The sequence below is a fragment of the Homo sapiens genome, chromosome 3 (genome assembly GCF_000001405.40).
Source record: "Homo sapiens chromosome 3, GRCh38.p14 Primary Assembly".
NCBI lineage: Eukaryota > Metazoa > Chordata > Mammalia > Primates > Hominidae > Homo > Homo sapiens.
Window position 1 is genome coordinate 158,543,851 of NC_000003.12, and position 27,255 is coordinate 158,571,105.

General features: G+C 39.6%; 1 protein-coding gene and 1 long non-coding RNA gene across 5 annotated transcripts in view; one reads left to right on the plus strand and one right to left on the minus strand.

The window, feature by feature from the left end:
* RSRC1 (arginine and serine rich coiled-coil 1) overlaps positions 1-1,880 on the plus strand; it is a 435,642-nt gene extending 433,762 nt beyond the window's left edge. For all 4 annotated transcript variants that reach the window (NM_001271838.2, NM_016625.4, NM_001271834.2 and 1 more), the window contains one exon: positions 333-1,880. In NM_001271838.2, coding sequence (NP_001258767.1) covers positions 333-425 — 93 coding nt within the window. In that variant the 3' untranslated portion in view covers positions 426-1,880. The remainder of the gene's footprint in view (positions 1-332) is intronic.
* MLF1-DT (MLF1 divergent transcript) lies at positions 1,370-27,216 on the minus strand. Its single transcript, NR_104147.1, has 5 exons — positions 26,321-27,216; positions 24,110-24,206; positions 17,547-17,655; positions 10,012-10,191; positions 1,370-1,727 (listed from the first exon to the last, which is right to left on the minus strand). It is a non-coding gene; the product is annotated as an MLF1 divergent transcript (long non-coding RNA).

Here is a 27,255-nt window from a genome sequence, read left to right on the forward strand (position 1 = left end):
AGTGAGCACATCACTAACATCATACTTTGCTGTCTTCCATGAAATGTTGTAATTCTGCTGTTTTGGAAAAGTTATAGGAAATAAACTTCACAAATATAAGGTACAAAATTGTTAAGCAATGATGTTGATACTAGTAGTTCTTTTACTCCAAGAATTTCTGAGCATTACTAATTCCAAATAGATAGTCATCAATTAAGAGGTCATCAAGAGTTAAACAGTATCCAAATCTTGTGTTGAGAGATATATTCTACAAAGGTGAGTTCTGTCATTTTAGGTCAAATTCAAGTTATTGGGAGACAGTAACATTTTTTCTTTTTCTTTTCTTATTTCAGTTATTTATCGAGAAAGCTGATGCTGAGGAAAAATGGTTCAAGAGATTAATTGCTCTCCGACAAGAAAGACTAATGGGCAGTCCTGTGGCCTAAGTAATATACATATAGTTGGATTGGATTGTCAGCAGTAACATTGGAAATTTAGGTTTTTAAATCCCAATATTAACTTTTTACTCTTAAAAAGAATTTTGCTGATTATATATAAAGGTAGTCTCATTTCATTTGTCTCTCATGTAGGCTTGAATATTTGTTAATTTGAATTAAATCAAACATTGTAAAAATTAAAACAAAATTTAAGATTGCATGAAAATGTTATACTGTTAATAAAGCTAAACATAAATAAGTCTGTTAAAATGAATGGTAGACACTAGTGTTTCTTAGTGCAATTCAAAAAATGTCAAGATGTCATTTAAAGACACAATTTTGATTAATTATGCATACATGAGAATTGAATTACATGCTATAAATATGAGATTTCATCTTCCGTATGGTATTCAACCATTTTTAAATATTTTATTTCACCATATTGCAAATTTTTAGGCACAATAAAAAGCACCCTAAACAATGTAAGCAGAATGTGCATGTTAAAGAACATATTTATGGAAAAAAAATTTTTGAAACTTAAATAAATTGGTGATTTTGCTTAGAGATCAGCTTCTACTAGATGCTCCTTTACAACATGTTAGCAGATCTCAGCTCATTGTTTTAGAAATCACATGTTCATGCTAGACCTAACCAGTTGGCCAAATACCTATGATGGAGAAATCATTTCTGAGAAAACTGATAAGAGCTCTCACTTCAGTCTTACTTACCCCACTGCTATTCCCTGTGGAGAAAGCCGGCTAATTGTTTTGATAAGGCTATCTGCCATTGTAGAATACCTTTCTCTAGTAGCTGAATGACAATCAACTATACGTTCCATACTAAACATGCCAGAGATAGGACTTTTAGGCCTTGCTTTACAAAACTGGTTTTTAACAGCTGACATGAATATTTCCCGTTTCTATTTTCTTTTTTTTTTTTTTTTTTTTTTTTTTGAGACGGAGTCTCGCTCTATCCCCCATGCTGGAGTGCAGTGGCGCGATCTCAGCTCACTGCAAGCTCCGCCTCCCAGGTTCACGCCATTTTCTTGCCTCAGCCTCCCGAGTAGCTGGGACTACAGGCACCCGCTAACATGCCCAGCTAATTTTTTGTGTTTTTAGTAGAGATGGGGTTTCACCATTTTAGCCAGGATGGTCTATTTTCTTCTGTTGTCCAGTCACTAATTTAGTCTCTGCGAAGACTGTAGCTCAGAACAAAAGATAAGCAAAAAAAGTCTTCAGGGTAGGACTGCCAACATATAGGACATTTTAATGCCATCTTCTTTATATTTCTGGGACATTAAAATTCAAATCTCTGTTGAAAATGAAAAATGTAAAACTTAGTTGCAAACAGTATAGAAAATAAGTGATGATGAAATATTTGTTTTCATACAAACATGCTTTCCCATTCTAAATAGATGCTAGTTTTCTTTTTTCCTTGGCTGTAAATAAAAGTGCCCCAAATGAACCGAGATTTGTGTGGTTTTTAACATAGATGTATACAATTTTAGTGACTTAAAAAGGGGTTACAGTTTATGAAATATTTTTATTTCATACTTTGTATAACTTATAAACTATAGAAGTACTATCACCCTATTGGAAAGTATATGTTAGTGGTCTGGGCAAGAATATGGGTTATCATTTGGGCCACTAATGATTCTCCAGAGGACCTGGGCTAGGCAGTTTTCTCAATATCCCTGATCTTCCTTATCTATAAAACAGTGAAAATCTGGTCTACTTCAATTATATTTAATACCAGTGTTCCTCTGTGGCAAGTACCCCAAATACAGAAGCTTGAACTGTGACAGAATTGTTTTTTGGGGTTTTTTTTGGGGGGGAGGGCGGTGGTTTGAGACAGAGTCTTACTCTGTCATCCAGGCTGGAGTGCATTGGTGCGATCTCGGCTCACTGCAAGCTCCGCCTCCCAGGTTCATGCCATTCTCCTGCCTCAGCCTCCTGAGTAGCTGGGACTACAGGCGCCTGCCACCATGCCCAGCTAATTTTTTGTGTGTGTATTTTTAGTAGAGACGGGGTTTCACCGTGTTAGCCCGGATGGTCTCGATCTCTTGACCTCATGATCCACCCACCTCGGCCTCCCAAAGTGCTGGGATTACAGGCATGAGCCACCATGCCTGGCCGAAAATCAAATTTTTTTAATGAACTAAACTATGGTCCCTACAGGAATTCGGTAACTACTTCCTTCCTCCCTAGTTTTCAACATGATTCATTTTTATATATTATTAACTTCGTTTACCTGCATTCCTATCAAAGACCACAATATTACCACACAAGCCAAATCAAATTTAATAAAAAGGACTGCATAGAACATGATCAAACATATTGCCTAATTCAAGCTAGCCTTCTTTAATATCCTTATATGGTGAGTCTATAAAACAGAATAATTCCTTTCATGTCACTTGATTAATGATAATAATTTGGACATACATGAGACCTTAAGTGTTTTACGAAACATTGATTTCTTACAAAATGATGGGTACTGATAATACAGGTTGAGTTTTCATTTCTGACAAGTAAGTATATTCTCAAGGAAAATGAAATAAGAGCATTTTTCCTGGCACTCTCTAGTTATGAGGAGTCAAAGAGCTAAAGATATGAGCACAGAATACTTTGAATCATTCACCTCCTTTGCTTCAGCATCCTAACATGTGAAATGAGGATACTAATTGCAGACCTGCCTACTTTGATTTTTCAGTAAAATGACATAAAAGAAAGCCCTTCATAGAAACTTCTGCTATTTATGCCAAGGGAACATTTGACATGATAGACATCTTAGTGAAATGTGGAACAAATAGTTGCTACACTCCAACTTGAATGTGTTTATGTGTGTGCTTGAGCTGCCATGGTCAATAGTTGCCGTTCCAGCGATTTCCTCAGCCTTCCCTGCTCTTCTTCCCTGCCAAGGTCGTAAGAAACCTTACTTACTCTGCAATTAGTGACCTACCATCTACTTATTTGAGAAATCTCAGTTCTTCTTTACAGTCAGATTTACCCATTTATTCATGAATATCATTTTGAGTACCTAGTTCATGCTGGGCACAGTAAGATGTGCTTGGGGGATGCATACCTGAATCCAGTAGAGATCCTGCCCTCAAGAGGCTTAGTTGTGAAGCCCAGACATGTAAATGATGTCAGAGATATAGTACTTAGTGGCAGAGGAGAGGACTTGGTTGCAAAGAAGAGAGAAATTACTGTAAGTTAGAAAATTAAGGAAGTCTTCATGGAAGAAATCAATCAAACTGAGTCTTGAAGGACAAGAAAGCTGGAGCCATAGGAACTCTCAGTCACCCACTTATATCTTCCTGATAGCTATTCTAGAAGGCTGGGAACTACTGCAGTTTTAACCTAGGACAGAGTACCTCTCATGAAATACCCAAGTGGCCCTGCTCAGTCAATCTTATCAAAAATCTAGGCAAAATTTCAGGTTCCTAGTACCCCTCTGACTCTCTATTTCTTTCTTTTTGTGGAGAATAAGCTGAATAAGATAAGTCTTCATTTGGCCACAAGCATCAACAATCTTGCCTACTGCCATTTGTCAGCCAAGACGACAGATTCTGCAATGGAGCTGAAAAGAGACTTTCAATGCCGCTAAAAAAGAACTGCATCTGCCAGTAAGGGTTTGCACAACCATGTAGACCACTGTGTGTTCCATTACTCTCTGTTTTTCTACTCTGTACTGTTATAGAAAGCATCATTTGGGAACTAAAAGACACAATTCATTTGCCTGTGGTTAGGTCCCTCCCCAGATTTTCCTTTGATTTGTGCATCAAGTGAAAATCTTTAAGCAAATAAGATAGTAAAAAAAAAACTAGAAATGAAATAAGACATAGGACATTTTCAGCCACTAAACTCTAGATGAGTTTATATCAAAGGCTTGCACCCATGTTACTCTTTGCTTTCCTCCTTTCCCTACCCCAAAATTCCTTGTGAGTATTACAAGAGATTTTAAATAAACTCTTGGCCATTACTCAACTGATAAAATGCTTGGATTATTTGCACAATTTTTTAATGTCCTCCTGTAAGCCTTACTCTTTGGAACTCCTTTATAGAATAATGGAAAAGTAAGTACTCTTCATAAGAAAACATTTGAGTCAGTAGAGCACAGCAGGAATACAAATGGATATAAGAAAGAACACTGTAAATTCTGTAATTATCTTAACCTTTTATCATAGGGATGGACATTGATTAATATATTCAACTCTATTTGGTGAGTTTTTTCTAAAAGAAAATGCTGTCATGATATATTTCCAAGTTATTTTGGCTATCATTGTTTCTCCAGAATCTGGCCTAATGCCTGACATACAGAAGGTCTCAATAAATATGTTTTAATGAAGAATTAATTAGCCCATCTTAAATAAGAAATCTATTTAGCAGCCTGTTTATTTACATTGCTCAAGCTATTTGGAGCCAGTGCAAAAATAAATGTTATAACCAAATTATTTTGGTTTCTCTGATCTATATCTCCAAATGGCCCTGAGCTGACAGAGGCTTTCGGATGTCAGGGAAGTACACTGTACGTGGTGCCTTCTCTGTTGCATTAGGAACTAAATGGTGGGACTAGAATTTAAGTAGGGATCTTATTAGTCCTACTCTTGCCCAGAATTTTCTAGTCTGACTCTTTCTTTGTATAAATATTTCAAAATGTATTGATGTAATCATTCTGGGTCCACCAGCTGGCACCTATCATCTCTCCTTCCAAAGCTATAGGTCAGCTTTCAAGAAATAAAGACTACGAATAGAGTAAGACAACACTTTAAAATCAACAATGTAATCGTTTTATTTTTAGGTCTTGAGAAGGAATGGCAAAATGATCCCAGTGCAGTTCTGAAAGAGTGATGAACTGAACTGACCCTCTCTCCTTAGATCTTGTATTGTTGTTCAGGCTTGTTATCTCACAGTGTAAAAAACATAGCATAGTTCAGGCTCCCTTTTTATCTTTTAAAATATTAGCTAGGTGCCGGGCACGGTAGCTCACGCCTGTAATCCCAACACTTTGGGAGGCCAAGGCAGGCGGATCACCTGAGGTCAGGAGTTCGAGACCAGCCTGACCAATATGGTGAAACCCCGTCTCTACTAAAATTACAAAAATTAGCTGGGCATGGTGGCAGGTGCCTGTAATCCCAGCTACTTGGGAGGCTGAGACAGGAGAATTGCTTGAACCCGAGAGGCGGAGGTTGCAGTGAGCCAAGATCATGCCACTTCAGCCTGGGCAACAGAGCAAGACTCTGTCTCAAAAAAAAAAAAAAAATTATATATATATATATATATATATATATATATATGAACTAGGCCTAGCATGGTAACTCACACCTGTAATCCCAGCACTTTGAAAGGCTGAGGCAGGAGGTTTGCTTGAGGCCAGGAGTTCCAGACCAGTCTGGGCAACATAGCAATGTGTCCGGAATTTATTCCTTCTGGTGGGTTCTTGGTCTCGCTGACTTCAATAACGAAGCCGCAGACCCTCGCGGTGAGTGTTACAGCTCTTAAAGATGGTGTGTCCAGAGTTTGTCCTTCAGATGTTCTGATGTGTCCGGAGTTTCTTCCTTCCAGTGGGTTCATGGTCTCGCTGACTTCAGGAGTGAAACCACAGACCTTCACAGCAAGTGTTACAGCTCTTAAAGGTAGTGCGGACCCAAAGAATGAGCAGCAGCAAGATTTATTGTGAAGAGCAAAAGAACAAAGCTTCCACAGCATGGAAGGGGACCCGAGAGGGTTGCCGCTGCTGGCTCGGATGGCCAGCTTTTATTCCCTTATTTGGCCTCACCCACATCCTGCTGATTGGTCCATTTTACAGAGCGCTGGTTGGTCCATTTTACAGAGGGCTGATTGGTGCATTTACAATCCTTTAGCTAGACACAGAGCACTGATTGGTGCGTTTTTACAGAGTGCTGATTGGTGCATTTATGATCTTTTAGCTAGACACAGAGCACTGATTGGTGCGTTTACAATCCTCTAGCTAGACACAGAAAAGTTCTCCAAGTCCCCGCTCGACCCAAGAAGTCCAGCTGGCTTCACCTCTCAGCGAGACCTCATCTCCAAAAAATAAAAAGAAAATGAACAAGGTGCAATGGTGCATGGCTGTAGTACCACCTACTTTGGAGGCTGAGGCAGGAGGATTGTTTCAGCCTAGGAATTCAAGGCTGCAATGAACTGTGATTACACCACTGCCCTCCAGCCTGGGTGACAGAGCAAGACCCTCTCTCTAAACAATAAATAAATGAAAATGAACTGCTAAAATCCCACGTCTTGAGTAAAATCCATAGCTGCAGTCTGTGATTCTGTAAATGTTCTATGAAAATTGTGTTATAAACTTGAATTGAAAATCATAAGTAATTGAAAAATCTTTTTTAAAATAGCACAATGGATTGAATGACTATATTAAAGATTGGGTAGATTTTTTAAACAAATTCTATAACTAGATTGTTTATGTAGCCATATTATAGCTTTTCTCTTCGCTTTTTCTGCTATAGTAAGTCTAATTGATCTGGAGAAGATAAGGCAGATGACTGATTTATTAGCAACTTGAAAAAAATGCTTTTTCTCAAAATGCTGTAAACTTGAATCATCTGCAGTCTAATTACATGAGGTGAAAATGGAAGATCATCCAAAATTATAATGTCTGATATTTCATTTCATACTTGAAATGTTTTTTTAAAAAACAAATTTTTGTTTGTTTTTTTTTTTTTTTTTGAGATGGAGTCTCGCTCTGTTGCCCAGGCTGGAGTGCAGTGGCCTGATCTCAGCTCACTGCAAGCTCCACCTCCTGGGCTGACACCATTCTCCTGCCTCAGCCTCCCGAGTAGCTGGGACTACAGGTGCCTGCCACCACGCCCGGCTAATTTTTTTTTTTTTTTGTATTTTTAATAGAAACGGGGTTTCACCGTGTTAGCCAGGATGGTCTCGATCTCCTGACCTCGCGATCTGCCCGCCTCAGCCTCCCAAAGTGCTGGGATTACAGGCATGAGCCACTACGCCTGGCCAAAAAACAAAAATTTGTATATGCCTATCATAGAGCATAAGTAGTAGCTCAAGCCCTGTATTACGTAATAGCTACTCCATCAAAAACACTTGAACCTTTAAAAAAAATTTTATTTTCACATTAATACTTGTTATCCCATAATCATACTTGTGTTTCAAAGGTCATGTGACCCATTTTCAGCAACGTGCTCAGAATTTTAATGTATCTTATTTATAATTAACAATATGAGAAGGTGACAAGTGATTGATAACAGGTTATGGTTCACCATAGCCTAGAGAATGCCAGAGACTCTGTTTCTTTTGGAGGTCTTTAACTTGAAGTTCCAATTTTTAAGTATTTTTACCTTACTATAATAACTGCAATGTAATTATCCAGAGAATTGTTCAATTAATTTCTTACTTCCTTGGAAAGATATTTACACAGAACTTGGAGATCTTTGAAAGTAAGGATTATAAAAATATATGCTGCTTCTCTTATTTTTTGAAATAACTATTTTGGAATTACCATGATCTGTGGCAAAAATTTCTGTTCTTTTACTAACAAAGGCAACATAGATTTGAAATGTATTTTTACTTTGGGAATTTTTTTTAAATCTAATGTTTAAATGTCTTCAATTGGGATTTAAATATTGGATTCCAGTTTTAATATGGAATTTGTAAATTAAATATGATTGACCAACATTTTACTAAAGTAATTATCTTTCTGCTAAGTACTAAAAAATTTTCTCAATATTTATATTTTTTCTGTAAATTATATAATGTAAGTATCCAAGCTACTAAATGGCCACATATGATTTAGTAAATCTGCGGATTTGCTAAACTCATATAGAGGAAACAGCCTGATAAAAGGATACACAAAATGAAAATTATATCCCGATTTAAGCTTTTTCTTAAGTGAGATATTCCATATTTTTATGATTGGGTTTTTTTATTGGAAAATGCTAAAAAACATAAAAGGAAAGGAAAGTCATCCATAGGCAACGAACTGTGGAATGTAAAGAAAGTCTGCCCCTCCTATTCTGCTGCTGCTTTTTTTTCTCCTGACCAGGTGACCATTCTGAACAGTTCATCTCAACTTTGCCCTGTGCCTAAACAAATACATCTGTATAGAGATATTTACACATGGGCTTGCTTTTCAGACCATAACAACATACTGAGGACCATGAGAAACATACTGGTCCCCAGTTAACTTTTTTCCCTGGTTATATACATTGGATAACTTTCCAAAGCAGTATAGCTATATGCCTCATTTTTTTTAGTGGCTGCATAGATTCCTAAAAGTGGAATTGCTGAGCCATAGGGTATGTACCTTTCACATCTAAACTAGTAAACAATCAATGAACAGCAGCAATAAACTTCCAAATTATATGATTTCATGCAAATTAAGATTATATTAGTCTCCTTCAAGCCACTTAAAAACTAAAAAGTCAGCTGGGTGTGGTGGCTCACGCCTGTAATCCTAGTGCTTTGGGAGGCCAAGGCAGGCAGATCACCTGAGGTCAGGAGTTCGAGACCAGCCTGGTCAACATGGCGAAAACCTGTCTCTACTAAAAATACAAAAATTAGCCTCTAATCCCAGCTACTCGGGAGGCTGAGGCAGGAGGATCGTTTCAACCCAGGAGGTGGAGGTTGCAGTGAGCCAAGATCACGCCATTGCACTCCAGCCTGGGCAACAAGAGTGAAACTCCGTCTCCAAAAAAAAAATAAAAAAAAAAAAAGAACTAAAAAGTCAATTTGTAATTAGGATAAATTGCATGTATGCTAGTACTCTCCATCATCCCTTCACAATCATTCTGGACTCCTCTTTCCCTGCAGTGCCTCAAGAGGCTGACTTTCACAGACTGCATCACCCAGTTTCCCTTGCCCTCTGGCTTCTGGTTGCATTTGGCCAACGGGAGGGACTGTCAGGAAATTAAAAAGAAGGAGAAAGAATTGGGTATCTGTACCCCTGGAGGCCATGTTTCAGTGTGGCTGCCCTTTTTTTTTTTTTTCTTTGAGATGGAGTCTCATTCTGTCCCCCAGGCTGGAGTACAGTGGCACAATCTCAGCTCACTGCAACCTCTGCCTCCTGGGTTCAAGTGATTCTCCTGCTTCAGCCTCCCGGAGTAGCTGGGACTACAGGTGTGCACCACCATGCCCAGCTAATATTTGTATTTTTAGTAGAGATGGGGTTTCACCATATTGGCCAGGCTGGTCTCAATCTTCTGACCTCAAATGATCCGCCTGCCTCAGCCTCCCAAAGTGCTGGGATTATAGGCATGAGCCACCGTGCTGGGCCGGTGTGGCTGCTCTTCTGACCTTTGTAGGCTAGTCTCTCTCTCAAGGATACAGCTCTCACCATGTTAAATCAACAGCTCCCTCCTTATACCTCTTCAGACCTAGGTGCTGAAATTGTTTCTTGTAGCTACTACTCCCAAATTGGTTCCTTTAACCCTGCCCACATCTCTGTATATAATGACTTCATTAAGGTTTTGAGTATGTCATCTTTTCCTGCTGGGACCAAAGCTGATAAGATTATCTTCAAAGGCATTGTATCATTTAGGATTAATTAAGTATATCGATTCGTTCTGATAACACAACAGAAACGATGAACAGTGGCTTACCTAAGAAAGATGTATTTTTCCCTCAAGTGAAAGACACTTTAAGGTAGGTATGGTGGCTTCATATGTCAGGGACCCAGGCTCTTGTTTCACAGTTCTCAGTAAGTGGCTTCCACCATATGGTTCTAGATAGCTGCTGAAGCTCTAGCCATGAAGAATGCACTGCCTCCCTTTAAGGAGATTCTGAAATTAAAAGAGTATATATATATTAAAATTTATACCTCATTGGCTACAACTGAGTCAACTGACTGCTCTCCTGTTGCAAGAGATATTTGGAAAGGTAGTATTTCAGTTCATCCATAGCAGAAAATACCTTGATAATTATGAAGCTTTAGAAAATATTTAAATCCTGAAAAAGAACCTGGCCACATAGCACATCTACCAATCCAAATTTCCATTAACTCATGGAATACTGCTAGATGGCATAATTCCTTTCCTACCTCTCCTAAGGCTAGTAGACAAGCACTCTTTTCACAAAGTTATATTGTAATAGCAAGAATAGCTTTATGTAGAAACATTTCAAACATGAAGTGAATGAGTACATACAGTCCCTGAGAATTCCTAATTATCATTGCTCCTCAGCTCTCTATTCCAAGCCAATGCTAGTCAGTTAAGAGTACCTCTCTGAAACTGAATGTATCCCTTTTAGAGGGATCTGGCATGAATGTTTCAGCTTGACTTTATGTCATAATGGTATGATCTCTTAAGGAGTGGGCTCAAGGGAAAGGAGACACCAAATCATCAATTTAATTCTGGTGCCTAATCACCTCCTTGCCAATTTAATTAGTTTCTGTGTCTTTACTCAACTAAACATTTCCTTCTTTAAAGAAAAAAAAAAAGCCTTTCATTCATCTTATATTCTAAGCACATGGAAATGGCTAATTCTACTCTAATTCTATATTTACCAACCATTCTTTGATCCATGATTTCAGTCTCCATCAGCAGACGCTTCCTATCAACAAATCTTTTAATTTACAAAGGATCGGATACCAGGTGCATGAACTCCTATGAGTGAAGCAATAAATATGAATTTTTTCAGCCTGCACTTGGTCCTGAAGAGCCAAGAGAAATGGTCTATGGGAAACAAAAGGTATAGTCTGGCTCCCTCTGTCCTCCGGAGAAAAGGTTGAAAAGGGTCTGCCGATGCTTCTATTCTTCTCTGGCCAACTTATCAAGGCAGAAGACCAGCTAGAAATTAGTGGCAGAAGCTCCAGCTGGTAATAGAGGTGCATTTGCCTGGAGCTTCTCCTTGCTTCTTATTTTCCTGGGAATCAAATAGGTCATCAGGAAGCAGCTGGACAGAAAGTGGATCCAAAAAAAAGGGAACTAGATAAGAACCCTGCACCAAGAAGTGACAATATATAATAGAGTTGATACTCTCTGTAATGGTGTTATAAAACATGTCTGCAAACTTTTTGATGCTTCTCCCATTGAGAGGTGAAGATCTACGTCCCTTACATGACTCTGTGTCAATCTTAGTAACTTGGTCATAGCCAACAGAATACATCCGAAGGGACACAGCATAATTTCCAAAGCTAGTTCAGTAAAGGTTTGTGCCTAATTTTCTTGGGATGCTGACATGGTTTGGCTGTGTGAAAACAGAGGCATATAGTAAATTGGTACCAGTAGAGTGGGGCAGTGCTGTAAAGATACCCGAAAATGTGGAAGTGACTTTGGAACTGGGTAACAGGCAGAGGTTGGAACAGTTCGGAGGGCTCAGAAGACAGGAAGATATGGGAAAGTTTGGAACTTCCTGAGACTTGTTGAATGCTTTTGACCAAAATGCTGATAATGATATGGACAATGAAATCCAGGCTGAGGTGGTCTCAGATGGAGATGAGGAACTTGTTAGGAACTGAAGTAAAGGTGACTCCTGTTATGTTTTACCAAAGAGACTGGCGGCATTTTGCCCCTGCCCTAGAGATTTGTGGAACTTTGAACTTGAGGGAGATGATTTAGGGCATCTGGCAGAAGAAATTTCTAACAGCAAAGCATTCAAGATGTGATTTGGGTGCTGTTAAAAGCATTCAGTTTTAAAAGGGGAACAGCAAAAAAAATTCAGAAAATGTGCAGCCTGATAATGTGATAGAAAAGAAAACCCCGTTTTCTGAGGGGAAATTCAAGCCAGCTGCAGAAATCTGCATAAGTAACAAGAAGCCAAATGTTAATCACCAAGACAATGGGGGAGATGTCTCCAGGGCATGTCAGAGACCTTTGCAGCAGCCCCTCCCATTACAGGCCCAGAGGCCTAGGAGGAAAAAAATGCTTTCGTGGGTGGGGCCCAGGGCCCCCCCTGCTCTGTGCAGCCTAGGGACTTGATACCCTGCATCAAGCCACTCCAGTTGTAGCTAAAACGGGCCAAGGTACAGTTCGACCTGTGGCTTCAGTGGGTGCAAGCCCCAAGCCTTGGCAGCTTCCATGTGGTGTTGGACCTGTGGGTGCACAGAAGTCAAGAATTAAGGTTTGGGAACCTCCACCTAGATTTCAGAAAATGTATAGAAATGCCTGGATGCCCAGGCAAAAGTTTGCTGCAGGAGTGGGGCCCTCATGGAGAACCACTGCTAGGGCAATGCAGAAGGGAAATGTGGGGTGTGAGCCCCCACACAGAGTCCCCATTGGGGCACTGCCTAGTGGAGCTTTGAGAAGAGGGCCACCATCCTCCATTCCCCAGAATGGTAGATCCAATGACAGCTTGCACTGTGCACCTGGAAAAGCAAACACTCAGCCCATGAAAGCAGCCAGGAGGGAGCTGTATCCTGCAAAGTCACAGGGGTGAAGCTGCCCCAGGCCATGGAAACCCATCTCTGGCATCAGTGTAACCTAGATGCAAGACATGGAGTCAAAGGAGATTATTTTGGAGCTTTAAGATTGGACTGCCCTGCTAGATTTTGGACGTGCATGGGACCTTTAGCCCCTTTGTTTTGGCCAATTTCTCCCATTTGGAATGGCTGTATTTACCCAATGCCTGTACCCCATTGTATCTAGGAAGTAACTAACTTGTTTTTTACTTTACAGGCTCATAGGTGGAAGGGACTTCCCTTGTCTCAGATGAGACTTTGGACTGTGGACTTTGGAGTTAATGCTAGACTGTGGACTTTTGAGTTAATGCTGAAATGAGTTAAGACTTTGGGAGACTGTTGGGAAGGCATGATTGGGTTTGAAATGTAAGGACATGAGATTTGGGAGGGTCAGAGCAGAATGATATGGTTTGGCTGTGTCCCCACCCAAATCTCATCTTCAATTGTAGCTCCCACAATTCCCATATGTCATGGAAGGGACCCAGTGGGAGTAATTGAATCATGAGGGCGGGTCTTTCCTGTGCTGTTCTTGTGAAAGTGAATAAGTCTCACAAGATCTGATGGTTTTAAAAAGGGGAGTTTCCCTGCGCACGCTCTCTGTCTTCCCTGCTACCACGTAAGTTGTGAGTTGTTCCTTCTTGCCTTCTGTCATGATTGTGAGACCTCCCCAGCCATGGAGAGAACTGTGAGTCAATTAACTCTCTTTTATTATAAATTACCCAGTCTTGGGTATGTTTTTACCAGCAGTGTGAAAATGGACTAATATAGATGCTCACTCCTGGAGCCCTGAGCTTTCATGTAAGATCACCAACTACTCTGACGCTGCTACATTCTGAGAAAACCCATGCACTATAGACAGTGTGGATTTTAGTGTTCTAGCTAACAGTCCCAACTGAATTTCCAACCAATAACCAGAATCAACCACCAGACATGTGAGTGAAAACCCCTCTAGCCATAGAGTCTTCCCAGCTGAGGCTCTAGAGATAAGCCGTCTTCATTTCCCTGGCTAGATTTCTAACCCATAGAATCTGTGAGCATAATAAAATGGCTCTTTTATACCACAAAGTTGTGGGGGTAGTTTGTTACACACAACAGTAACAAAAACACCAACTCTGTTGAGTCCTTGAAAATCTGGTTGAACCACATACTGATAAATACTGATGTTCATATAAATGCTATGTACATGCTATGTAGCCTCTCTACGAATGGTAGTGATCACCCAGCTTCTTAAAGCTTCTTAAAGCTGGGTGATCACTACCATTAGTAGAGAGGCTACATAGCATGATGCTATGAACATGAGGTATAGAGCTAAATTTTGGCAAGCTACCTCCTGAACTTCCATGTCATGATCTAGTAAACAGGAATAGCAATTTCTGTCATGCAGAGTTCTCATGTGGATTAGAGTTGATGTGCATAAAACACTTAGCACAATGCCTAGCAAAGAAGCAGAACCAATTTTTTAAATAGTTAAAAATGACAATACTATAATTTTCTGATTTTATGTTCCCTTTATTTTATGAAGCTTTATTTTGTGAGTGATTTCCTTATTTTATGAATCATAGTCACTATATATTGCTATGGATGGACATACCTATAAAAGTGTTCGGGTTCAATGACAAATATAATTAGAAAATGAGAGTGCCATGAAAAACAAATACAGGGTTATTCATGCCTTTAGCTGGAAATTGGCATGTCCTACCAAGCTGACTGCCATGAGTAATATTGAATGAGCTGTGATCATCAGAATGACTGAAAATTAATAAAGAACATTAATTCCCAAAGGAAATCATTGTAGATCTCATTATTTCAGGAATAACCTACCTTAGGACTTTAATTAAAAATAATATTTATTCAAAATAAATGACTGCTGACAGGTTTCTGCAGAATCTTTAATCTTGGTTATGCTAAATTTTCTTATATTAAGGCAAACATCATTAATCTCATTTGAGATGCCCTCCTGTCTGACAGTCCTTACAGCACTGGGGCAATTTGCAGAAGCCTTTTTATCTTCACAGAAGAGTTATAACTCATGCAGATACCTAATGTGAAAAGGTCTGGGCAATTACAGCCTTCACTTTGAGATCTACACTGGCACTTTATCATGTTAGCAAGCATCTCATAGTAAATTTGCTCTCAAAAGGAGGCCAATATCTCAACATTACCATAAAATTAACAGCGGTTATTTAATTATTTTATTTATTTATTCCTACCAATCTTTGTTTCAGAAAAGCTCCAGGTATTTTATCGAAATTCATAGAATATCACCAGATAAAACAGAAATTTCAGCAAGCCAATGGAGAAAATGGGACAAAAGAAAGAATGAAAGTAGAATAGTGATAGGGTTTGGCTGTGTCCCCACCCAAATCTCACCTCCAGTTGTAATCCGAGTTGTAATCCTCACATGTCGAGGGAGGGACCTGATGGAAGGTGATTGGATCGTGGGGGGAGATTCCCCCATGCTGTTCTCATGAGTGAGTTCTCACAAGATCTGGTTGTTTGATAAGTGTCTGGTGCTTCCCCCTTCTCTCTCTCTCTCACCCACCACCATGTAAGACATACCCTGCTTCCCCTTGGCCTTCCACCATGATTGTAAGTTTCCTGAGACCTCAGGTAGTATCTTTATAGCAGTGTGAAAACAGACTAATACAGAACATTGGTACCGAGGTAGTGGGGCATTCTTATGAGATATCCAAGAATGTGGAAACAACTTTGGAACTGGTAACTGGCAGAGGTTGGAGCAGTTTAGAGGGCTCAGAAGAAGACAGGAAGATGAGGGAAAGTTTGGAGCTTCCTAGAGACTTGTTGAATGGCTTTGACCAAAATGCTGATTGTGATATGGACAATGAAGTCTAGGCTGAAGTGGTCTCAGATGGACATGAGGAACTTATTGGGAACTGGAGTAAAAGTCATTCTTGCTATGCTTTAGCAAAGAAAGTGGTGGCATTTTGCCCCTGCCCTAAAGATCTGTGGAACTGATGACTGGATCATGAGGGTGGTTTCCCCCATGCTGTTCTCGTGATAATGAGTGAGTTCTCTCAAGATCTGGTTGTTTGATAAGTCTCTGGCACTTTCCCCTCCTCTCTCTCTCGCCTGCCACCATGTAATACATGCCTCGCTTCCCCTTTGCCTTCCACCATGATTATAAGTTTCCCGAGATCTCCCCAGTCATGCAGAACTGAGTCAATTAAGCCTCTTTCCTTTCTAAATTACCCAGTCTCAGGTAGGATCTTTATAGCAGTGTGAAAACAGACTAATACAAATAGGTAAGAAGTTAGAAGGAATGAGGTTAATCTCCACAATGCATACTGTAAAATTTTGTAAAGTCATATGCTTTCAAGTTTGCCAGCTGATTGTTGGGTCATATTTCAAGTCTTACATAACAATTAACACTGATAATTTTGTTCTGTAGCTATTCTGATTATTTTTGTACAAGTTACTAATAGATACTCATACTGGGTTAAATAGTACCCTCCCTTAAAATGCACATCCACATGAAAAATGTGAATGTGACCTTATTTGGGAATAATGTCTTTGCAGATATAATCAACTTAAGATGAGGTCATAGTGTATCAGAGTGGGTCCTAAATCCAGTGACTGGTGTCTTTATAAGGAGAAGGAGAACTGGACTCAGAGACACACAGGGGAGAAGGCCACGTAATGACTGAGGAAGAGATTGGAGTAATACAAGGCAAGCCAAGTATCAGCAACCATGAGAAGCTAGGAAGAGGCAAGGAAGGATTCCTCCCTAGAGCTTCCAGAGGAAGCATAGCCCTGCAACAGCTTGATTTCAGACTTTTAACCTTCAGAACTGTGAAAGAATAAATTTGTGTTGTTTTAAGCCACCAGGTTGTGGTACTCTATTAAGGCAGCCCTAAGAGACTAATAAAATGCTTAAACATTTTTTTTCCTGAGAACCTAGAGTACATATTCAATATAAATATAAAGGTTTGAAGAGGAGAAAATAAGGTAAAAGAAAGACTCTCCTAAAAATATTACCAAGTTTTTTGTTTAACACCTATGACTCTACAATAGGTGACAAAACAAGTGACAAGTAAACAAATGACTAATATTATGAGAAAAAGTTTTGGAAGCAGTCAGTCACCTTTAGTTTAATAGATTGTTTTTATATGGAAATATGGGCTTTTGATATTTTATTATATACATTATTAGAGTCTAATTTTGCAAAGCTATACAGGGAGGGATGTCTTCATAAATAAGAAATTGAAAGGCAGGCACTTTAAAGCAGAGACCAAAATGATGTCAATCTATTTTAAGACTGACTAAAGAGAATTAAAACAGTAATATAATACACAGAACCTGATAAAGCTGTGCTAACCTTTTGTGGTCCAAATGAAAAAATTAATCTGTAATCTAAATATCCTGCAGAAATAAAACAACTGTCTCATGGCCCTGGAATTTTAAAATATGACCCTTCACTGATATGGTTGGTAACTGGTGTCCACTCACAAAGGCCTACTGCTAGGAGTCAGGGCACTTTGCTTCTCAGCTCTCACAACACAAGACCTGCCATCAACATAGTTTTGAGTTACACTCAAAAGGCAGTATGTGAATGTTACCAGGATCATGTGTCTCTTTCATGCCATGAAAACTCACTCTAACTAGATCATAGGCTTGCAGCCTATGGGCCAGGTTCACCGAAAGATTTGTTTGGCCTGCTATTTTCTTTTTAATTAGTTGTTAACTTTAAAAAATTAGATTTCATATACAATTCCATATTACCAGTGGGCATGAATTTCTTCAGGGCAATCATCTAGAGCTGAGTAGCAGTATTCCTTCTGCTGGAGGCAAGCCGCCTGCAGTGCCCGACTGTGCCCACCATGCCAGGTTCCTGTGAATATACAGCACAGTGATAAGAGCTAGGGTCCTCTGGCTGTGTGACCTTGAGCAAGCAGTTTTTCTTCTCTGACCTGTATCATCCTCTTATACACAATGGGCATACTTATAGTGTTTATCTCATTAGATCACCTGGGGGATTAAGGGAGTTAAAATTTGTAAAGCACTTAGAGCAGTGCTTGGCACACAGTAGAAACTCAACAAATGTTAGTTATTATTATTATTATTATTAACTCTTTTTTTGTTTGTTTGTTTGTTTGTCTGTTTGTTTGAGATGGAGTTTCGCTCTTGTTGCCCAGGCTGGAGTGCAATGGTATGATCTCGGCTCACTGCAACCTCCACCTCCCGGGTTCAAGCAATTCTCCTGCCTCAGTCTCCCAAGTAGCTGGGATTACAGGCATGCACCACCATGTCCAGCTAGTTGTTTTTTTTTTTGTTTGTTTTTTTTGTTTGTTTGTTTGTTTTTTAATCTTCAGTAGAGACGGGGTTTCTCCATTTTGGTCACGCTGGTCTCAAACTCCCAACCTCAGGTGATCTGCCCACCTCGGCCTCCCAAAGTGCTGGGATTATAGGTGTGATCCACTGTGCCTGGCATTATTATTATTATTAATTCTTATTCTCCTTATCATCTTACCTAGTTCACTTGCCTCACATTTTTACTTGTCTGATCCCTATTGGTGTTCGTGTTTTTGACTCCAACTCTAGGTAAAGCCCTACCCTCAACTGGAGGTAAAGAAGACAGCTAGTCTCCTGTGTGTTAGGCAGTGAGTGGGGCCAGCTGAGGTTATACTCAGTGATTAAGAGCCCAGATTCTACAGTCAGACAGCGTGAGTTCCAATCCCAGTTCTTCCACTTTCCAGCAATACTGCCTTTTGCAAATTAGTTAATTCTCTAAAACCTGTGTTCGCTTATGTAAAATAGTAATAAAACTGTTGTGAATTGCAGGAACAGGAAAACAGACAACACATGTTCTCACTTATAAGTGGGAGCTGAACGATAAGAACACATGGACACGTTGGGGGCAACAACACACACTGGGAGGAGGGGAGGGAGAGCATCAGGAAGAATAGCTAGTGGATGCTGGGCTTAATACCTAGGTGGTGGGTTGATTTGTGCAGCAGACCACCATGGCACACGTTTACCTATTTAACAAACCTGCACATCCTGCACATGTACCCTGGAACTTAAAGTAGGAGTTGAAGAAAAAAAAAACATGTGAATTAATGTGCCTAGTACATAGGTTTTAGCTTTTATTATTAACAACCTACAGCAGACCCCAACATTCTCCACCCCGCCCCGCCCCCACCCCGACCCCGCCCGACAACCTCTGGCCTTGGCTGTCTTATTTCTCCCAACAGGCTGCCAGTGCCATTCAGCAGTGTGAGCCTTCCTGGAGGCTGTTTCCCAGGGGAATTTCTAGGTCTTTGGGAGATATGAATTGGGAGGAAATCAGGTATAGGTTGGAGCCACTCATTCTCAATTCCCTAGCTCCCCTTTACCTTGTTACCCCAGAATATATATCACAAATGGCATTAAAACTTACATGGCCTTATAATGACTATTGTGTCCTTTCTAGCTTCTTGAAATTAAAAACAATTCTTCTGTGATTATTCCTACCATTTCAAATAGTAAAGACATCTAAGCATATGACAAAGAGATGAAGGTATTCCAGGTCCTTAATGTTTTCCAAAATAATTTACTTGTCCTCTGGACAGACTTCAATTGATTGCCTTGGCAGTGGGGCCTCCAAACTACAGTGTGAACTCTCTTCAAATCTTATCAAGGATTTAAAAATAACACTCTAGATAGCCACATTAAAGTGTTCCTGAGAACAGATGACCTCAACAGTATTTTCTGAAGAGTGCTTTCTACTATTCAACTTGTTTTAGGCTCTGTAATTCTAAGATTTTTTATTTTTTAAAAGAAGTGTTTCTAAGACAGTAGCAACTATCAAGGTGTTGACTCAATAGAAAAATCTTTCTTATAAAATTATTGTCTGTAGAAAAAAAGTTTCAGAATTTCAATGACAATAAAGATTCAAGAATAGCTGAATGTAAGTTGATTTTTAAAACTTAATCAGGAAAAACACAAGCATGATCATAGTGCCTTATTTTTTAAGCCAAAAAAAAGAACAATCAAAAAATCCATCAACAGTAGATGGGTAAATTACTTGTGGCAAATTCATATGCTAGAATACAACAAAGAAAAAGAATAAACTGCTGCTACATGCAATGACAGCAATGACAAGGATGAATTTTGCAGACATAATGTTAAGTGAAAGAAACAAATCTCAGAATAGTGGTTACCCTAGAGGGACATGGATGGGAAAGGGACACAAGGGAATTTTCTTGAGTATTGGAAATGCTTTATATCTTCAACTGGGTGTTGTTTACATAGGTTTGCACATATGTAAAAAGCTATTGAGCTATACATTGAAGTTTAGTAGACTTTACCATGTTTAAGTTATACCTCAATTTAAAACGTAAATTGTAAAGACTAAGCAAGCTTTGGATGTGGACTTTCATTCATCAACTGCACATGAATCCATTACGGGCTGTGTGGAAAGTTGGAGTTTTGTCACCAAAAAAAATTGGTATATTTGTATTTGACATTGCCATTCAAATTATTTGTCTTTAGAGTAAGAGCCTTTATTTTATTCATTGAATGATAGTTTCAGTGTTGTTTGTTTTGTTTTTCAGGAAAATTGAAAAACTTCTTTATGTACTTAAACCAAACAACCTAAGTTTGGATACTCCCAGAAGCTTTACATTTATGTAATTCCACACCATCAAGTCCTTTTTCGTTATCATGAGAGTTGGCTATGGGTGCAGTGAGAAGGGAACGGCCTTCAAAACGGTCAGGTCTGGATCAGAATTCACATTAAACCACTCACCAGCTAGAAGACCATTTATAGTTGAACCTTGCAAGCTAAAAATCATTTCCCCTACCTGAACCTCTGTGTTCGCACACACAAAATGTAAATAATGCCTCCCTCATAGCATTATTGAGAGAATTAGTTGGGATAAAAGTTTACAAAACTCTTGGTAGATACTTTGTTTCTCTTGGTTTTTTTTTTTTTTTTTTTTTTTTTTGCGATGGAGTCTTGCTCTGTCGCCCAGGCTGGAGGGCAGTGTCATGATCTCGGCTCACTGCAACCTCCGCCACCCGGGTTCAAGCGATTCTTCTCCCTCAGCCTCCCAAGTAGCTGGGACTACAGGCATGCGCCACCATACTCGGCTAATTTTTGTATTTTTAGTAGAGACGGGGTTTCACCCTATTGTTGGCCAGGCTAGTCTCGAACTCCTGACCTTGTGATCCGCCCAACTCGGCCTCCCAAAGTGCTGGGACTATAGGCATGAGCCACCGCGCTCAGCCCAGTAGATACTTTTTAAACAGGAACTATTACTGAATAGAAATTAGCACTTATCTAAATCATTATTTTATTTCATTTATTCTTTTCAACTTTTATGTTCGTGGGGTACATGTTTGTTACATGGATAAATTGTGTGTCACAGGGGTTTGTTGTACAAATTATTTTATCTCCCAGGTAATAAGCATAGTATCCAGTAGGTACTCACCCTCCTTCCACCTTCCCACCTCAAGTGGGCCCCAGTGTCTATTGTTCTCTTGTGTCCACGTTTATTTCATGTTTAGCTCCCACTTATAAGTGAGAACATGCAGTATTTGATTTTCTCTTCCTACATTAATCACCTTAGGATAATGACCTCCAGCTGGATTCATGTTGCTGCAAAGGACGTCACCTCATTCTTTTTTATGGCTGTGTAGTATTCCATTGTGTATATGTACCAAATTTTCTTTATCTAGTCCATCATTTATGGGTATTTAGGCTGAGTCCATGTTTTTGCTACTGTAAATAGTGCTGCAATGAACATACATGTGTATGTGTCTTTATGGTAGAAAGTAAAGGATTAGGCCGGGCGCGGTGGCTCACGCCTGTAATCCCAGCACTTTGGGAGGCCAAGGCGGGCGGATCACGAGGTCAGGAGATCGAGACCATCCTGGCTAACACGATGAAACCCCGTCTCTACCAAAAAATACAAAAAAAGTTAGGCGGGCACGGTGGCGGGCGCCTGTAGTCCCAGCTACTCGGGAGGCTGAGGCAGGGAACCCGGGAGGCGGAGCTTGCAGTGAGCCGAGATCGCGCCACTGCACTCCAGCCTAGGTGACACAGTGAGACTCCACCCCAAAAAAAACAAAACAAAAAAAGAAAGTAAAGGATTATTTTTAAAAGATTATGAAATACATCCCTAAGTAACCAAGCCTCAAAGATGTACATCAAAGAAATGAGGGAAAGGCCAAAACTTTTGCTTATGCTTATTAAACACTATAATCTTTGGCTCAGCCCTGACCCAATAGCGGATCTTGATTTCCTCTCCAGATTTTTCTGTCATCCTCACCCACTCTGCCCATCCATCACTGAAACAGAACATTCCTCTGCTTACATACACCCTCACTACCACCTGAATTCTTACATACTCCCTCACTACCACCTGAATTCTAGGACCCAAGTCCAGGGCCCAGAGCCCCAGCTTCTTGCCTCTAGTATCTTTTCACTAAAGCCAATCTCTTGTTACCAACCCCCCAAAAGTGGTATTTACTCAACAGTTTTCAAAATAAAATATGCCTCAATTATAATTTGTGCAAAATAAACCACTAGTCATAGGCATACACATCTACAGATAAAAGCTGTAAAAGTAAATATAACTTTAAAAGTCTGCCACTTTTTTCCTTTGTTAACTCAATTCTTCGTTAAATTTTTACTTCGCTGGAGGAAATATTTGCTCTAGAGAGTGTATTTCTTAAAAGGAGAGGACTGCTATTGGTATTTAGGGAAGGACGATTCATTGTGCCAGACCGTGCCACACATAGTGAGATGTTTAGTACCCTTGGCCCTACCCAGTGAGGGCAATAAAGATGACTTCAGGAATGCAGCATGGCTAGCAACCAACTACACCTTGGCATTGTCTCCGTGGAAGAGGAAATGGGAGTGACTCCCAGTGGAATGTAAGCCCAGAAGATAAATTAAGGTTGATTGCAGGAAAATAAAATTACATTTCTTGCACATGAGTTTGGGAGTTTGGGGATGAAGCTTGGCACTCAATTAACTCCTATGTAGCGGAAAGAATTCAAGATTAGGAACAGCGCTGCCATGGACATGTATACAACACCTAAGCGAGCACCAGTCAAATCATATACATTACAGCCTTGTCTATTTATTAAGACAAATTTCTCATTAATGGAAGTATCATGAGAGGGAGGCACTTTTTCTAATTTGAGCAAAGATGCCATTATGGACTAGAGGCAGCCCTACTGGGAGTTTGAAGACCTTGGGATCTATGCTCTTACAGGTCACTTAATCGGTATGCACCATTTTCCCATCTTTCAAAAAGATATAAAGCAAAACTGTTAGAGGACTGGTAAGTCAGCTGACTGTAAAGAAGATAAACATGAAAAATAAAATGAAACATATTTTTTAGAAAAGGAATGCATGATATTTTACATTTCTTTTTAATTTGAAGAAAGATTGTGGGATTAGACAGAGGTCCCCAAACTATCTTAGTTCATGAGCCCTTAGTTCCTCAGTAATTTTTTCATTGTGCCCCCTAGGTTTAAAGAAATACTGAATAGGTCCGTTATTGTATAATTTAGATACAAACAGCGTATTTCTGACCTAAAAACTCAGTACCTTTAAAAAATAATGCACATAAATTGAAAGAAACATATTTTTGTATAATTCTTAAATAATCATACTAACAGATGGGTGCCCGCCTAGCACAGCACAATTTTTCAAACTTTAGAAACAGACTGAATGTTGCCACCAATCTTTCCTGTTCCACATTGACAGGTACTTCATTTTCATCATAGTAACTTTCAGAAACCTACCTTTCCAATGATATGACATCATCTAAAACAATGTAGTGCAATCTAATATTGAAATATGTGAACTGCCCTAAACTAGTACATTGAACAATGTCTAACACATGCCAAGTTTCTCTCAAAATTTGTCCCATAGCCCCTTGTGAGTTTGCTATGGCATCTCATTCTCAGAGGACCTCTGTGCACTGTTTAAGACAAAGGGATTAGGACAACGAAACCCTAGACACATTGAGCTTAATTGTGGTAAAGGTGTTTGTAATGGCCTAATATTCACGGCTCTGGAAAGCTATAATTAAGTTAAAAGTTCAGCACTCAAGAGCCTGTTTATTTTCTTTTGGGCACTTGAGATAATGTCTTCAGAAACATTATGAAAATTCTGAGGTGCTGTAACAGTATTTGTAAAATTAGCTGGGGAAAGAGTTGTCCACTAGGATGTAAGTTCCGAAAGGCCAGGGAGTTTTGTAACCTCAGTGTCTAGAATAATGTCTGGGATATTACTAGTCCTTAATAAGTATTTGATAAATTAATGAAAGAAACACGAAATCACTTACATATTGAAGTCTTGGTGTTTTTAATAGAGTTGCAGAGTTGGCTTGGGTTTCATCCTTTTCTCTGTTTTTCCTTAGTCAGTGTCCTTCCAAATGAAACCTAAGCAACAGTGTAGTTACAGATTATAGATGTAAAAGTGTTTACTGCAAATATTTGCTCCATAAATAGTTAATTTTTAAAATAGGGAGGCAAAGTACGGATGGTGGTGAGGATACAGGCTTTGGGGTAAGACAAATCTGGGTTTGAATTGAGTGACATCAAATTTCAATCATCAAAATTTAATCAAATTATCAACTTTCAAATCAATTATCAAAATTCAATTATCAAATTTATCTGGGTCCCAGCTTTTTTTAATGCAATTTAGGGATAAACATAATATTAGACATGGTTGCTGTAAAGGTTAAACGAGAAAACATATGTGAAGCACTTAGTGCAATCCTTGGAATATATGAAGTGTAAATGAGAGCTATTACCCTATTAGGCAATTTTCAGTTTACTTGGCTCATCTCATTCCTCACTCAGAAGGTGAGTTTTAAGGCATATGAGTAGGACTGTACATTATATACACCAGGCAAATGCTACTTTAGCACTGCCCTGGAATGCTTTTCCACTAGACATCCACTTCCTTCCTGTGGGTCTTTGCTCAAATTCCCCTTAGTGAGGCGTACACAAAACTTGCTATTTATAATTGCACCTCTCCATACTCCTTACCCTGATCAGCTTTTCTCCCTAACACTTATCACCTTACAATATACTATTTTCTATTTTGTTTATTTTGAGTCTGTCCTTACAAGAACATAAACTCCGGGAAGGCAGAGATTTTTGTCCGTTTTGTTCAATGATGCCTAAGGTCGTAGATCAGTCCCCAACACTGGGTAGTCACTCAATAAATATTTGTAGAATTGAATTTATGTGATGTGAATATATTCCCACTGAATTTTGTACTTTTTAGTTTGGGTCCATTTAGCTTGTCAGCATGATTTTGAAAAATGATTACCCGCTTTCATCCTGCATCTTTAAGTATGACTCATCACTCACATACCATATAACCAGCACTCACAGAGGAAAGCTCCAGGTACCCAGCTCAGTTCAATTACTAGCTGTGTGAACCTTGGCAATTTATTCAGCTTCTCTGTGTCTTGAATGCATCATCTATACATGGGGATAAAAGCCATCTCTACTCCATAAAACTGCTAATGAGGATTCAATGAGGTAATGCATATGGAGTGCCTACAACAGTGCCTGGCACACATTCAATAAATATTAGCTATTATGATTATATTTACAGCCAAGTCCAGGACCCTCTCCTCTCAGTCCTGTTCTGCATCTCTATTCCTCCCATGCTGGAGTATTCATTCTCTCCTGACCCACGCTTTCTTTCATTTCCACCTCTTACCCATCAGTTCTGAAAATGATGTCAAGGTCTCTTCAGTGCCAACTCTGCTCTGCCCTCCTTTTTTTTTTTTTTTGCATTTGTCATTAGATCCAAACTGCTTTCACAAGGTTCAGCTAATTCCCTGACTAACCTGTGCCTGGACTAAAGCTTTTATAACAATGTGATTCTAAAAAAGTTCCCACAGAAACTAGAGGGTAACATTACAAATTTACTTGGCCTTAATCCAGAACTATTTTAACACCATCTTTTATCACATAACTTACTCCATTTCAAGTTTTTTTTTAAGTGTGGCCTCCTTCACATCTTGTGCTTATACTATTTTAAAGAGAAAAACAATTTAAGGTCTTATAAAACAATTTTGTTTGCCTTGAAATTTATTTAGAAATTTTCGAAATTTTGTGTATATGTTCTCTGAGCTTTATTCTGAGTCCAGAGGAAAAGAAAATATCCTCTTTCCTGGATGGGCTGTGCCATCTCATCTTGGGCTGTGAAGTCTGCCCTACCCCATGCCACCAGTCTCAGGGGAAGGAAGCTGCCAGAGAACTTGGCTAAAAAAGGGGGATGGGGAGTAAAAGATCCAAACGATTAAATTTCCAGCTCTCAAAATAACCCCTGACTACTCCTGTCACCTCCAAATCAGGGCTTGCACACTTCTTCATGCTGGCAAAGTGCCACCCCTCTGGCCTGATCCCAGGGGGCCCTGATGAGCTATGGACGCCCCTTTATCTCTGCAAGACAGCCACGTAGAGAAGCTGGGGAGCTCACTGAATTAAGGGTGGACATGCAAGATGTATTTTCTCTTTTCTTATACTCTTACCATTCTTCTCCTTAATCTCTCTTCTGTCTTCCCCTCCATCTGTCTCCAGGCTCCTGAAAGGCCCCGTGATAGTGTTTTCTAAAACTTAGTAATTTGAGTACCACTATCACGATGTTCCTCTCCCCTGCTCTGCCTACCCCTCCGCCCCACCATATCCAAATTCCACCTGTTCTATTTGATAGCTTACTTTTTCACTTAAAAATGCAAAATCTAGCTCTTGATGTATATCACTGATTTAAATTTAAAATCAGTTTCCTTGCCATAAATAGAAAGCTCCCTGATAAATGTAATGCAAATAAAAACATATAGTAGTGGAATTTTAGTTGGATATGGCTGCTTGCTGCAGGCCTGTGCCTGAAACCTGCTGTTAGGTTAAGAAATGCTGGAGAAGTGTTAAAAACATATCAGCATCGCAGTGAGACTTGATCTTTGAAAGAGAGACACAGAAGGACAACCGAAAAGAGAGCAGCTTTCTCAAGAGGTAAATAAGTTTGTTGAAATCTGATAGGCTTCATCCCATTTCCTTCAACAACTGAGTACACTATTTGCTAACTGTACTAAAAAACGTTTTGCACATTTTTTCTTATTATTTGCTCACAGCTTTTGACTACCAGAGAATGTTTCGGATACAGGACTAATTCCTGTGGATGACAGAATGCGACCGTTGAATGGGACATTGGGTGTCATCTGGTCCAAATCTTGACCCCTTTTCATTTTCCCCGAAAGAAAGACTTGCGGCTCGGAACCGAGGGCGGCATGCCCAAGGTCACAGAAAGGGTGGTCTAATGTTTTGGTTCCTGCAGCCCAGAGAACAAGCTATCCCATCCCACAGGAGCCTTGGCGAAAAGCTCCCCGGCCGGCGCAAGGCCAGACTTCTCGCCTCCACTGTGTTGATTGCGGTTGCCAGGGCAGCGGCGCATTGCTCCCCGCCTCGT